This window comes from Homo sapiens, chromosome 10 (assembly GCF_000001405.40).
Source record: "Homo sapiens chromosome 10, GRCh38.p14 Primary Assembly".
NCBI classification, from domain to species: domain Eukaryota; kingdom Metazoa; phylum Chordata; class Mammalia; order Primates; family Hominidae; genus Homo; species Homo sapiens.
The window spans coordinates 18,384,150-18,400,214 of NC_000010.11; the positions used below are offsets into that span (position 1 = coordinate 18,384,150).

At 40.5% G+C, this 16,065-nt stretch overlaps 1 protein-coding gene across 12 annotated transcripts in view; it reads left to right on the forward strand.

Moving 5' to 3' along the window:
- The window catches only part of CACNB2 (calcium voltage-gated channel auxiliary subunit beta 2), a 403,134-nt gene that overhangs the window by 243,726 nt on the left and 143,343 nt on the right, over positions 1-16,065 (forward strand). The gene's annotated exons all lie outside the window — the stretch shown is intronic.

Here is a 16,065-nt window from a genome sequence, read left to right on the forward strand (position 1 = left end):
TAGAGTCAGTACTGAGACTCCCGAAGATCAATAGGACCAGCATATGGTGTCTTGGCCATATCATCACGATCTGTGGTCATGTTTTGAGGGCAACTTGAATATTTTTCATGATAAAAATATAGTGTACCTCTTTTTCTGTAATTGAAAAACAATTTCCAAGTAATGGCTGTGTATATTACGTGAAAAATTACCACAGAAATCGAGAGTGGAGAAAGGTATCCCAAGTCTTTCATAGAAAATGACCTGGAAATTTTCCTTTTAAATGTCTCTTTTTAAAGTAGTATGAATATGGTTGGCCAGGCGCAGTGGTTTATGCCTGTAATGGCAGCAGTTTGGGAAGCCAATGGGGGTAGATCGCTTGAGCTCAGGACTTCGAGACTACCCTGGGCAACGTGGTGAAACCCTGTCTCTCCAAAAAAAGAAAAAAACAATTAGCTGGGCGTGATGGTGCACATTTGCAATCCCAGCTACTTGGGAGGCTGAGGTGGGAGGATCACTTGAGCCTGGAAGGTGGAGGTTGCAGCGAGCTGAGATATTGCCATTGTACTCCAGCCTGGGTGACAGAGTGAGACCCTGTCTCAAAACAACAACAACAAACAAAAAACAAAAAAAACCCACAAAACCAAAAATAAAGTAATATGAACATGGTAAAAAAAAAAAAAATCAAGCATTACAAGAGGTTACCCAGTGCCAGGTTAAGTCCCTCCCATCTCTGGCTGCTGGTTCCTCAGTTTTCTTCCCCACAAGCAACCACGGTGACCAGGTTCTTGGTGTCACTCTGGCATTGTGGTTCTCAACCTTGGCTGAACAGTAGAATCACATGCAGAACTTTGAAAAGAACAGTTGCCGGCTGGGTGCGGTAGATCACGCCTGTAATCCCAGCACTTTGGGAGGCCGAGGTGGGTGGATCATCTGAGGTCAGGAGTTCGAGACCAGCCTGGCAAACCTGGTGAAACCCCATCTCTACTAAAAATACAAAAAAAATTAGCTGGGCATGGTGACGGACACATGTAATCCCAGGTACTCGAGAGGCTGAGGCAGGAGAATCATTTGAACCCGGGAGGCAGAGGTTGCAGTGAGCCGAGATTATGCCACTGCACTCCAGCCTGAGCAACAGAGAGAGACTCTAAGAAGGAAAAAAAAAACGGTTGCCTTATCCCACCTCCAGAGGCTCTAATTAAATTGCTTTTGAATATGCCATAGAGATTTGTAATACCCCCCCCCCTCGCCCCCCACAGGTTTTAAAAATGTGCAGCCACTTAAATGTTCTAGAGCTAGCCTACATACTCATAAATGTATGCATTCTTTAAAATGCACTTATCAAAAAATTAGCTGGGCGTGGTGGTGTGTGCCTCTAATCCCAGCTACTAGGGAGGCTGAGGCAGGAGAATCGCTTGAACTCAGGAGGCAGAGCTTGTGGTGAGCCGAGATCGTGCCAAGCCGAGATCGTGCCACTGCACTCCAGCCTGGGTGACAAGAGTGCAACTCCATCTCAAAAAAAAAAAAAAAAAATTTATTCAAATGACAGCAAAACGGTGTATTTCTACCAATGATAGAAAAATACTCTCTGATGGTTTTTTCTTTTTCTGATGCTTTTTTCTTTTTAACCTGTAAAATACATCTTGGAGATTATTTCACATTAGCATGTATCGCTAGAGATAACTTATTTTTTTATATGTCCAAATGATATGCCATCATATGGATGCAACATAATTTTATCAGTGCCCTACTGATAGTTATGTTATTCAAAGTAATCTGTTATCACAAATAGTGCCATAACAAATATTCTTATATATATATCCTTATGTACACATTTGTATATATCTATAAAAGTCCCAGAATCAGAATTAGAATTATGGATCAAAGGTAGGTTTTCAGTTTTGATAAATTCTACCAAATTTTATCCATAAGGGGCAATGTGTGAGAGGACCACACTAACAGTGCATTCGCTTTGCTTGTAATCTTTGCCAATAAAAATTAAAACTAGTGTTGTCTTTGATTTTGCCCTGTTTTAACATCAGGACTAAACTTAGGCATTTTCCATTAGCTTAAAACCGTTTCTTTTTCTGGGAATGTCTCTCCTTCCCCTGCTTTTTTGGCCTATTTTTCTAGTGGGTTGTTGGTGTTTTTCTTATTGATTATAAGATGTATTAATATATGAAGGCATCAAACTTTTGTCAGCATATGATGACATATTCTGTATATATCATCAGTATATGAGCAACTTTACTGTTGCTCTTTTATTTATGATTTTTTTTTTTTTTTTTTTTTGAGACGGAGTCTCACTCTGTCGCCCAGGCTGGAGTGCAGTGGCGCCATCTCGGCTCACTGCAAGCTCCGCCTCCTGGGTTTGCACCATTCTCCTGCCTCAGCCTCCCAAGTAGCTGGGACTACAGGCGCCCGCCACCATGCCCTGCTAATTTTTTTGCATTTTTTTTAGTAGAGACAGGGTTTCACCGTGTTAGCCAGGACGGTCTCGATCTCCTGACCTCGTGATCCACCCATCTCAGCCTCCCAAAGTCCTGGGATTACAGGCGTGAGCCACTGCGCCCTGCCTTTATTTATGATTTTTAATCTGATATAGTAAAATGTATAGCTTTTATGTTTTGGAGTGTTTCAAGTATCAGTTGGTAAGAGAGCTAGGTACTGGAAGCTATTGGAGAACAGAGAATATGTCATCTATATTCTTAGATCCTCAGTGCCCAGCACATGGTAGATAATTGTTGACAGAATAGTTGGATGTAAATGTGATGATGATGATGAAGGATCATGAAAGTTGATCCCAGGTATTCATCCAGAAGAAATTAAGGCAGTAACAGTATTATCATCATTTAATTCCCTTCATAATTAAACGCTCCAGCGTATAATCACGGTGTATAATACTTCTGGTATAAACTGAAAGTACTGAGTTTCAGAAGGCAGATCTAGCTGAGTCGTCTCAGAGCCGTCATCTTGGTCACTAAGCTCTTGCTCCTTAGAAACTCGAAGATCCTCCACCCCTTCCCATTGGTCTTTCTGCCTCGGAATGTTGTTCCCTTGCCTGTATCTATGACTGTTTCCTGCCAGCTGCAAAACACAGCCTAAATATCTATTTCCCTTTAGAAGCTTCTTCTGAGTCCCATCTTCATCTCCCTGCCATCTTCCCTCATAGTGTCCCATGGCTTTCCTTTATAGTAGTTATCAGAACTGTCATAAAATAATGTTTTGTGTTACAGCCTCTGTGATGTGTCTCCCTCACTCGACTGGGAACCCCAATCACTTCTTCTTCCCTCATGTCCACTGGGAGTGCTCTGGGATTGGGGAACAGAGGTAAACAAAAAAAGCTCCCTGCCCTCCTTTGAGTATTACATTCTACTGTATATATGTGTTGGGAAAAGGAGATAATAATAATACTGAGTTGTGCATCATTTCCAATGATTGTCATTTAAATGAAGCAGAAAAGCCAGTAGGTGCATTTTTGGCTTGGAGTATCTGAGTCTGGTTTGTGTCTTAATAGTAGAAGGATCTAGCACATAACATATGCATACACTACCAGGCTGTGAGACTGTGGTCACCCTCGTGCAAGTCAACAGACAGCTGTCAGCATAGTCACCGAGCCATTTCTTTCTCTCTTTTTTTTTTTTTAGCGACAGGCTCTCATTCTGTCACTCAGGCTGGGGTGCAGTGGTACAATCAAGGCTTACTGCAGCCTTCACCTCCCAGACTCAAGTGATCCTCCCACCTCAGCCTCCCAAGTAGCTGGGACTACAGGTGTGTGCTACCATGCCCAGCTCGTTTTAAAATTTTTTGTACAGATGGGGTCTCGTTATGTTGTCCACATTGGTCTCAAACTGCCGAGCTCAAGCAATCCTCCTGCCTCGGCCTCCCAATATGCTGGGATTATAGGAGTGAGCCACTGCACCTGGCCCAAGCCATTTCTCATCCTTACCAAAATGTATTCTTACCAAACTGTCAGGCCATTTTTGCCCTGCTTGATGGAAGTTTTGCTATCATTAAAGTCCATTACACCTTCAAATGCAAAATAGAGCAGATATTTTCATGCAACAAAAGATGCTTTTTCATTTGCAAGACAAGAAATAGGATATAAACTACTTTTGACCAATGGTATATGTCCAGTATTTTATTAAACGTTCTGAATATAGTCTAGATTTTCTAATATTAATATTATATATCTGTGGCACATTTCCAGCTAAATAATCTAAAATTTACAGCCTTTTTAAAACACAGAGGTGAATGAACCAGATTGTCTCTAGTTCTGAAATCACCTCCTGAAGGTGGGTTTGCTGCTTAAGGGATACATTAACTATATTAGGTCCCTAGGGTACTTTCCAGTGCTTTATTTCTGAGTACTCCACACCACTGGCATTTTTCCAGACAAATCCCTGATGGTGTAGCCTGTTTTTTTAATATTAAGTCTCTCTGAACCAAAGTCATATCTTTCCAGAAGGTTAGACTTTTAGAACAGTATATTAATATTTTACTACCAAATTACTGGGTCATTTTGGCCTGCTTAAGTACCTAACCTAGTACCAACAAATTATTTAAGCAATCATAGGAGAAAAATCCAGTATTTCAGGTAGACACTTAAATAATCATTTCTATACATTATACACAGAGAAATTTACTTCATAATCATAAAATTTTATGTCTAAGTACTTTTCTTTTAATTATTTTCTTGCCTGTCATAATTCCCATAGCAACCTTTACTTTGTTCTCTGTTTTTCATGTGCATAAAGAGGCTTTCAGGAGACCTGGTCCTTGCCTCCCTTCCCCATATGCAAACAACTACGAAGGTGAATCAATTACAGAAAATATGTATAAATCATCTCTTTTACAACATCAAAAATATTTTCAGGGTACTTTGTGAGAAATTTCAATTGCAATAGGAAGGGCCTTTTATTCACAAACATAGGAACATTACAGGAAAAGAATTTAACTGAACTCCCAACATTTTTTGAGAAAATGGAATCCAACCTTATCTCTTCTGTTACTGTTTTTGTTTTTTTGAGATGGGAGTCTCACTCTGTCACCCAGGCTGGATTGCAGTGGCATGATCAGTTCACTGTAGCCTTGAACTCCTGAGCTCAGGCAGTCCTCCTGCCTCAGCTTCCCAAGTAGCTAGGACTGCAGGTGTGTGCCACCATGCCTGGCTCATTTTTAAAATGTTTTTGTAGAGACAGGGTCTCCCTATGTTGCAAAGGCAGGTCTTGAACTCCTGGGCTCATGCAGTCCTCCCACCTGGGCCTCCCAAAGTGCTGGGATTACAGGCATGAGTCACTGTGCCTTGCCTCTGTTATTTGTTTTACATACGTGAATGTATGTATATATAGAAATGATTCAGTTTTGTTTTTGTTGTTGTTTTCTGGTTTTATTAAATACAGTCATCATAAACATTTGCCTGTAATCATCTTTAGTCTTTGTAACTATTTTCAAGGTTATCTAATAGTCTACTAAGCATGTGAACCATAATTTTAAAATTTTCTTAAACTAGTTCCTAGAAGTGAAATTAATAGCCTAGGTACATCTAAATGCATGTCTAGTTACACATAGAAAGTAAATTGTCTTCCCAAAGGGTTGCGTGAAAGCCAAAAACTATCAACAAGGTGTGAAAGTATCAATTTAAGTGTGTCCCCCTGACATTGTGAATTGGGACTTTGCAAAGAGCATTGGTTTAATGATGGAAAATGGTATTGTGTTTAATTTAATGAGGTTGAACATCTTTTCCAGATGCTTATGGCTAATTGATTTTTTCGTGAATTTTCTATTAATATCCTTTATTTATATCAATTCATTTCTTACTGTTTTACTTATCAATTAGTGTGCCTTTTATATATGCAAAGAAAATGTTAAACAGTAAAATATTTAAGGACTGAAGCCATATCCCTTTTCACAAGTGTGTAGTTCCCTGGAGAACACAGAAGTTAGCTGTTCATTCATGCCTGTAGATTAATTGTTCATTGCCACCCGGGAGAACTCATCTTGGAAGGAAAGAGCCCAGATTCATTTGTTTGATTGTTTCGCTGCTCAAGAAAAGGCCTGGCACTTGGATGTACCATCTTTTGACATGGCCTTTCTTTTCTTGAGACGGAGTCTCACTCCTTCGCCCAGGCTGGAGTGCAGTGGCATGATCTTGGCTCACTGCAACCTCCACCTCCCGAGTTCAAGTGATTCTTCTGCCTCAGCCTCCCGAGTACCTGGGACTACAGGCACCCGCCACCATGCCTGGCTAATTTTTGTATTTTTAGTAGCGATGGGGGTTTCACCATATTGGCCAGGCTGGTCTCGAACACCTGACCTTGTGATCTGCCCACCTTGGCCTCCCAAAGTGCTGGGATTACAGGCATGAGCCACGGGGCCCAGCCAACATGGTCTTTCTTTGGTAGTAGAGAGTCTATTAAGATATTCTAGAGTTTTATATTTATTTGTCCAGTTATTCAGTTGCATTCCTTTATATTACCCAACATTGCTTGAAGAAATATCTTCTCCCTGTATTGGCTTGATTTTTGAAACATTCTGAATTATTATAAGTTATATGTATAGTCATATTTTCTGCTGTAAATTTGAACTCCATCTCTATAGGAATGTCAGGGGTAGTGCATAAGAAGTAAATCAACAGTCACTCACACAATATGTTATATTTACAATATATTCGCAACCATCTGTAAGAAAATTTGCAAGTGCATTCTTTCTAGTAGCTTCAATTTAGTATACTCATTTTACAAATGAGAGAATTAGCCAGAGAATTATTTACATGCCTTGCCTTTGGCTATGCAATGAGTCACTGGTACTTTTAGGATTGGAACTTTAAGTTCCTGGAATGAAGAAGCAGAATTAATGGGAAAAGAAGCTTCACAAAAAATAAGTTGTAATCATATTTTCAAAATATAAAGTCTCTCTTAGATTCACTGGAAAAAGGATGCTAAACAAATTTCAAGTACAATGACTGTTTTTGGAGTGGCTTGCTTGTTATGAAACATGGTTATTTAATCAACTGGCCTATAGTTGACATTTGCACCAAGTTAATTAAGTTGGCATTTGTGGAGGTTTGTGATAAAACACTGGGGATAGCTTCAAGCTGAAGCCTTTGTTTTATTCTTTATTCATTATAAATATTTATCATCCGTTCATCATGGAAAGTCACATTTCTGTTTGTGTTTTTTAATTAAGAAAGAGACACTAGCACATTTAGGAATGTTTAAGAATGTTTAGGAATGCGAAAATGGATCGGGAGAGCTTTCTTGTAAATTGGGAGAGCTTTAAACTATAGGATGTAAGAGAGAAGAGGTTTTCTCTCTTTCAGTCCTTATTCATTCATTCCACAAATGTTTGTTGAGCATGCATTCCATGCCTGGCACTATTCCAGGCACTTGGGATATAGGAGTAAGTGAAACATTTAAAAAAATCCATCCTCGTGGGTGTTATATCCTAATCAAGGGAGACATATACTAAACAATATCGTAAGTAAATTATATGTTAGAAGGTAAAAACACTAATAGGCTGGGCGTGGTGGCTCACACCTGTAATCCCAGCACTTTGGGAGGCCGAGGCACATGGATCTCTTGAATCCAGGAGTTCGAGACCAGCCTGGGCAGCATGGTGAAACTCCATCTCTACAGAAAATACGAAAAATTAGTTGGGCATGGTGGTGCGCACCTATAGTCCCAGCTACTCAGGAGGCTGAAGTGGGTGGATCCCTTGAGCTCAGGAGACAGAGGTTGCAGTGAGCCAAGATTGTGCCACTGCACTCCAGCCTGAGTGACAGAGTAAGACCCTGTCAAAAAAAAAAAAAAAAAAAAGAAGGTAAAAGCACTATTTTTAAAAAAGTAGAACAGGGTAAGTGAGATTGGAAATACCGCTGCAATCAATGGGGGTTACAATTTGAAATAGGATGGTTGCAGAAGACCTCATTGAGAAAGATTTTGAGCAAAGACTTAGAGGAGGTGATAGAGTTAGAAGGGTAGAAATCTAGGGGAGGAGAGTGTCTGGTACCTCTGAGGAATATCAAGGGGCCCAACAAGGTTAGAGCCGAAAGAAGGGAGAGCGAGGTGGCAGGGAGAGGGTGTAGAGATCAGCGGAAGAGGACGTTACTAACAAAGGAGACTTAGAAGGAACAGCCAATGGGAAAAGAGAAAGACCAAGAGGGAGTGGTTTCTTGGAAGTCAAGTTGAGAAAATGAAGAGAGGACAGGGGATGATCAGTGATGTTAAAGGCTGCTGATTGCTGGAGTAAGATGAGCACTGAGAATCAGCCATCGATGTAGCCTTAGAGACATCATTGATGACCTTGATGAACAGTTTTAGTGGAGTGGTAGGAGGAATAGGAGGAAGTATATTTAAGAGAGAACAGGAAGAGAAGAGTTAGAGGGAGCAGAGCCAACTTTTTCTATGCATTATTTTTTCTGCAAAGGAGAGGGGAAAACTGGACAAGAGCTGGCAGAGAAAATGGAGTCAAGGAAAGGTTTTCTTAGGAAGAGAGAAATAATCACGTGAGTTTGCTGATTCAAATGATTCAATAGAAAAACCCTAAGTGTAGTGACATCCATGCAGTTTCTGGAGTACCTGTAACCAGCATGAATTTCTAGACCAAAAATTCCCTACATACAATTTATTCACTCCTTTTCTCCCATTTCATTGAATTTTCTGCAGCTATGTATTGAGACAGTTCAACTCTCCCAAGCCACTATTTTTCTGCTCCCTGCCTACTTGTTTTCAATTTCATAACTGATAAGATAGTTTGTATATAAAAAATTATATTAGCATGAAAAAATTCTTGTCATTGGCTGGATGCGGTGGCTCACACCTGTAATCCCAGCACTTTGGGAGGCCGAGGCAGGTAGATCCTCTGGGTTCAGGAGTTCAAGACCAGCCTGACCAACATGATGAAACCCCATCTCTACTAAAAATACAAAAATTAGCTGGGCATGGTGGTGGGCACCTGTAATCCCAACTACTCAGGAAGCTGAGGCAGGAGAATCGCTTGAACCCGGGAAGCGGAGATTGCAGTGAGCCGGGATCGCCCCATTGTACTCCAGCCTGGATGACTCCATGTCAAAAAAAAAAAAATCATGTCATCTGTCATCATCAGTAGATATATATTAAAGGCCTAGAAAATTTTCCCAAAACACACATACACATACATAATGTTCTAATTTTTTTAAATTACTTAGCCTATGACTGAAATCCAAAACTCAAAATAATATCAAAATTGCCCCTCTAATTTTAACTTTTTCAAAATGGTTCCTTTGGACAATGTCAAATTTTGCAAATATTGAGCAGAGGCTCTTCTATAAACTGTAAATAGCCATCATACCCTCATGTTAAGGAATAATTTGGTGGTAACAGCATTTTGATATGTTCGTTTTTTAAAAAAATGAAAGTCACATGTCTGAACTTCTTGCCTACTATTTGTACTTTATAATAACTTCAGCTTCAGTACTGAAAACCAGCAACTGTTCCTTTTGCACTGAAAGAAGACACTTGAATCCTAGCCACTTTCAGGCAGGATGAGCTGCCGACCAGTCTACTGAAGGCCAGCTTGCCAAAGTTCTATTCATTTTCAGCAAAGAGAGAAAAACTTAAATAGCCGGTGTCTTGGCTTCTATTGTTTTCCGATTCTAATCTACTTTCCCTTGTAGATAAGTAATGAAAAGAATGCTTGGTGATGCTGAGATACTCTGAAGTGAGGAAAATTTCAGAGGAGCAGCCAAGTCTTTCCACAAAACAGCATTCTATTAATGAATGTAAAATGAGCCCTCGGTGTACTTTCGTTGTGCCTTTTTGGAAAGATAAAATTTGAAATTTTTGTTTTTCCAAGTAGGAGTCTCACTCTGTTGCCAGGCTGAAGTTCAGTGGCACAATCTTTGGCTTACTGCAACCTCTGCCTCCCAGGTTCAGGCAATTCTTCTGCCTCAGCCTCCCGAGTAGCTGAGATTACAAGCGCCCACCACCATGCCTGGCTAATTTTTGTATTTTTAGTACAGACAGGGTTTCACCATATTGGCCAGGCTGGTCTCTTGGCCAGGCTGGTCTCGAATTCCTGACCTGGTGATCTGCCTGCCTCGGCCTCCCAAAGTGCTGGGATTTCACCGTGAGCCACTGCGCCTGGCCCAAATTCGAAAATTTATAGATGTGTGTGAGAGAGAGCAAGCGAGCGTGCCTAAAGCTTAGCAAAGACATAGCTAAGCATTACAAAACTATCACGATGCCTTTATGATCGTTAGAAATGGCTATACCTATGACCAACAAACAGAAAAAACATATGCTTTTGATTAACAAAAACATCAGATGCATGTAGGAATTTGTCCTAGCTTTTCTTTTTATGAGCAGACACATGCATGGCACTTGAAATTTGACTGCTAAAGGTTTACTCCTAACTCTGTGGATCCAATTTGTTATATACTCATTTTACAAAGGGAGGAATTAGCCAGGGAGTTATTTATATGACTTGCATTTGGCTATGCAATGAGTCCCCTGCTTCGTGGCCTTGCTCAGGTAGCTTCTCTATGTCTCAGTTTTCTCATCAGTAAAAATGAAGATAATCGAAATTACATTAGGTAATACTTGTGAATCAGCACAGTACCTGACACAGTGTAAGCATTTATGAAATATTTGCAATTATTATCATTAATAAGATGTATTATTATGTGCATAGCCTGATCTTAATTGATTATCCTCATTATGAGTATAATATAAAACAATCTTCAAAACGCACTCTTTTAGCCTCTAAGTAATTGTGCTGGACTGAGAAGGAAGAAAATACAAGAACTCTGTTTATATTCTCCGGAGACATCATGTTTCCAGTAACGTGGAGTTCACTAACAACAACTTAAATGTAACTCCGAATTAAGGAACTCACACAGGCTGAAGGAGTTTTTCTGGGAGGTAATCCCATGTTGATGGAGTCTCACATGTGTATTCCAGGAGTGCCTGAGTATATATCACATGCAGAGTGAGAGAAAAAGAGAAGGGAGAGAGAGAGAGAGACTGAACAAGTTTAAATAAATCTTACTAAAAATTAATGTTAGCATGTTAGATACACTGACCTCTTTTCAATTCCTCAGACATGCAAGCATTTCTTGTACACAAGGCCTTTGCATATGATGTTCTTTCTGCCCAGACATCCCTCTTCTCAATGCGTTGCAGGGCTGAGTTTTTTCTTTCATCGTTTAGATTTCAGCTTAGTGTCATTGCAGACTGTCATCTCATTACTCTAACTAAAATACCATCCCTCCCACCATCATTTTATTATCTCAGCTTTTTTTCTTGTCTCTCATAGCCGTTATTTTTCTGGTGCCTTTTAAAAAAAAATCAGTTTCCTTCACTGAGATATTAAGTTTCATGACAGAAAGCTTTAATCTTTTTTACAGCCCTGTTTTCAGTATTTAGCTCACAGTTACAGCACAGAGTTTCAAAGTAATAAGTACTCAATAATTGCATGTAGTTTGGGGAGTTGTTAAATAAAATTTAATCTCTTCATTAGTACATCCTATAGCTATATGTTTATAAATTTTCATATTGTCTTGAGAAAATTGAAACTGACATTTTGGCTTTTACAGGATCATAAAAGTATCACACAGGGATGACCCTGCAGCGATGTATTGCTATCACCTCTGTTACTATTTTGACACTCAGCTAAATGATAGGTCAATCACATTTGAGATTTTCATCATCGTATGAATTTGAATAATAATTACACGACAGTTTGCAAACTAAGGTATACAATGTTTATGCAACTGTCCCGCATCTTGGCACGCTATGTCATTTTTCAGTGTTTAGAGTCAGGATCTCTCATCAGTACATAGTTGATGATTTTATTGTTATTATTTTGAGACAGGGTCTCCCTCTGTCACCCAAGCTGGAGTACAGTGTTGTATTCTCTGCTCACTGCAGCCTCTGCCTCCTAGGTTCAAGCGATTCTCCTGCCTCAGCCTCCCGAGTAGCTGGGACCACAGGCACCTGCCACCACGCCTGGCTAATTTTTGTATTTTTAGTAGAGATGGGGTTTCACCATGTTGCCCCGGCTGGTCTTGAACTCCTGGCCTCAAGTGATCTGCCTGCCTCTGCCTCCCAAAGTGCTGGGATTACAGGCATGAGCCAGCATGCAGCCCATAGTTTATGATTTTATTTATGAAGAAACCAGTAAAGCAGAGAATAGCAATTCAGATTTCTTGCATCTACATTGCACCAGAGAACAGAAGGTAATTCTAAACTGTGAAAAGAGATGACAACACCATGAAAAATGAAAGAATTATCTCCCTTCCCCCACAGACAATACAAGATAGAACCCTTTCCCCTTGGTCCTGGCCCGCTGAAGTCTATCCCATTTTGATTGATGATTGATTGAGACGGAGTCTCGCTCTGTTGCCAGGCTGGAGTGCAGTGGCACAGTCTCAGCTCACTGCAACCTCCACCTCCAGGGTTCAAGCGATTCTCCTGCCTCAGCCTCCCGAGTAGCTGGGATTATATGCATGTGCCACCACACCTGGCTAATTTTTGTATTTTTAGTAGAGACAGGGTTTCACCATGTTGGTCAGGCTGGTCTCGAACTCCTGACCACAGGTGATCCACCCACCTCGGCTTCCCAAAGTGCTGGGATTACAGTTGTGAGCTATTGTGCCTGGCCCCATTTTGCTTTATTTTAAAATATGTGGGCCTGACCAGCAAGCAATGAGTTTGCCATTGGGTCAGCATCGTCCTATGCATGAGGAGGTGGTCTAAAATCTTGAGGATTTTGATGAGTTATAGCTTTGTCTAGAATCAGACTGGCCTTTGGATTCATAAAAAGTTGATTTTGCTCAAGAACATGGCTTTAAGACTTCATATAAAGATTTCCTACAGAAAGAGAAGAACACAATTTGGGATCCAAGATGCCGCTATGAAATAGGCTTACAACTCTTATCTTTTGGGCTTTAAAAGAGAAAAATACAAGAATGCTCCAAAATACTGATGCTGAAAATATAGATGACTGTGAAACAGCAGAGTACAGCATCAAAACAGCAAAGTATATAAATTTTTTAAAGCATTAAAGAAAAAGGGTGGCCAGGTGTAGTGGCTCAAGCCAGTAATCCCAGCACTTTGGGAGGCCGAGGTGGGCAGATCACCTGAGGTCAGGAGTTCAAGACCAGACCGGTCAACATGGCAAAACCGTCTCTACTGAAAATACAAAAATTAGCCGGGCCTGGTGGCGCATGCCTGTAATTTCAGCTACTCTGGAGGCTGAGGCAGGAGAATCACGTGAACCTAGGAGACAGAGGTTACAGTGAGGCAAGATTGAGCCACTGCACTCTAGCCTGGGCAACAGAGTGAGACTATCTCAAAAAAGAAAAAAGAAAAAAGAAAGGGTGACGCTTTCTTGTGTGAACGTTAGACATAAAAGTGGAAAAACAATGAAACCCCGTCTCTACTAAAAATACAAAAATTAGCCGAGTGTGGTGGTGCACATCTGTAATCCCAGCTACTCAGGAGGCTGAGGCAGGAGAATTGCTTGGAGCCAGGAGATGGAGGTTGCAGTGAGCTGAGATCATGCCATTGCACTCCAGCCTGGGCAGCAGAGCAAAAGCGAGACTCCGTCTCAAAAAAAAAAAAAAAAAAAAAAAGTGGAAAAAGAAATTGAAGAGTAGATAAAAGCATAAATTAATCCAGTGATATGCAATTTTCCTATGAGCAATGAACCCACAAAGTGAGAGCTCTAAGGATAAAAGGTGATGATCCTGGGAGGAACTATTAGTACACAGTAGTACAAGTTACATTTTCAGAAATGTCCAAATAGAAATGCAGGTATTAAGATGTAGAAAAGGAAATCTGGGTAGCTGAAATGTGATGCACTGACAAGGACAAATACTGCAAAAGACCAGCTAATCACGTTGTAAGAGCCCTAGAGATCAAGGGTACATTTTGTAATGAACCTATTCCGGAGTTATGGAAACGACCGCCAGCTGTTCCTGACTGAAGACTACTTGAGGCACGATGACCCAGAAAGTCCATATGTTTCCAAAGATAAAAGCTTAATTAGATATATCACTTCTAACTGAATAAATCCACACTCCCACAAGAAAGGAGATTAACTGTAAGGCATATGTCAGGAGGGTGACTTTCAAACATGCAACAGCTTCAGATACTGAAACATGCTACTATTTAACTGTGGCTGTCTTTGGATGGGAGACTTTCAGGGGATCGTTATTTGTGTGTCTTTCAATGCTGGGTGCATATAACTTCTATAACGAAAAATATTTTGAGGCTGGGTGAGGTGGCTCACACCTGTAAACCCAACACTTTGGGAGGCTGAGGCAGGAGGATTGCTTGAGCCCAGGAGTTTGAGACCAGCCAGCCTGGGCAACATAGTGAGACCCATCTCTACAAAAAATAATTTAAAAATTAGCTAGGAATGGGAGCACATGCTTGTATTCCCAGCTGCTTGGGAGGCTGAAGCCGGAGGATCACTTTCGCCCAGGAGGTCAAGGCTGCAGTAAGCCATGATTGCATCACTGCAGTCTATCAAGCCTGGGTGACAGTGAGACTGTCACACACACACACACACACACACATACACACACACACACACACACACAATTGTTTTTGTGTGAAAGTATATACTATCAGAGATACAAGGAATGAAGGTAATCCAGCTCTTTCTATGCTTCTATGAACTACTCTAAAGATCAATTGGTAGTCACATCCTGTATTATAAAATAGTCAAGCCATTGCCAAAAGTCATTGAAGAGATTTTTGTTTTTAACTGCTATTTAAACCTGGAAACAGGTCTCAAAGTGACTATGCAATGTAAAAGCTCCATCTGAATATTAGCAAAGGACTTTTTATATCTTATTTTAAAATAATGAATGAGACCGGGAATGCGACCGCGGGAATGAGACCGCACAAAATTATGTGTGGGTGTTATGCGGCCCTCTCTTTATGTACTTCCTGTCATTGCTGGGTTCTTACTGATAGAAGCTTTGTCTTTTCATTGAGGTGTGACTTGAACCTGTAGCGGGGTGATTGGGTCTAACATGGCAAGACTGGTGACAGTGGGGACAGGGGCCCCTTATGGGGTATAATTATGCTTCCTGGTAATTTTCTACTGTGCTGCTACTACTATAAGAAGCCCTCTAGGAAGATCAGGAATCCCCTACCAGGTGTGTATGTGTTGACACACTCATTTCTCCCTTGTAAATTTGCTTGAACGAAGAGTTTGCAGTGCATTTTTATCCCCCATGCATTTTACAGTCACATCATAACAATAGGTGATCTATTAATTTACGTCAAGATACCACAATTGAGGTACAACTGATCACTAACTTTCATTCTGAAACCCCTATTCTACGTATTTTCTAGTATTTGGGTCTTGAAGATTATATTAGTGCAGAGTGCCAGGTGGGGAGGGAGGAAGGGTAGAAGGGAGGAGGAGGGAGGAAGACTTTTTGAGATAGGGTCTCACTATGTTGCCCAGGCTGGTCTCGAACTCATGGGCTCAAGCAATCCTCCCACTTTGGCCTCCCAGAGTCCTAGGGTTACGGTCGTGAGCCACTGCAGCCAGCTGTGGTTCTTAAGTATTCTTAAGAACACTTTTTTTTTTCATTTTTATTTGTACAAAATATTCTCCCACCACACTCAAACAAATGCAGTTTAGACTACAATGAGAGCATTTTGTTTATGTCAAGAAAACAAAGTGTATATTTCTTAATAAGTAAACTTTTAAAATGTAATTTCATTAGTACAGGAAATTAATAACTTTAGTGTCTTTCCTTCTTCAGCCTCACTCACCTCATCTACAAGCAGAGTTGGGACTCAATTATTCTGTGAATTTTAACTCCAACTAATAAATTAACCAAGCTTTGAAATTTCCTTGTAAGTATGGTTATAACAATTCACACTGCTGTTTATGCCAGTGGCTTTATTTCAAATGGTAGTTTCTCAGTTGGAGAAGCAGTTCGAAGTCATTTTGAGCTCCTTTAAACTCAACGCTTTATAAAGCGGTGATTACTTTCGTGTCCTAATTAAATGGCCACGTCACTCTCTTGCATCTTGTTTGGAAAGTCACAAGCAATAAAGAACTGTGCTATATTATGAC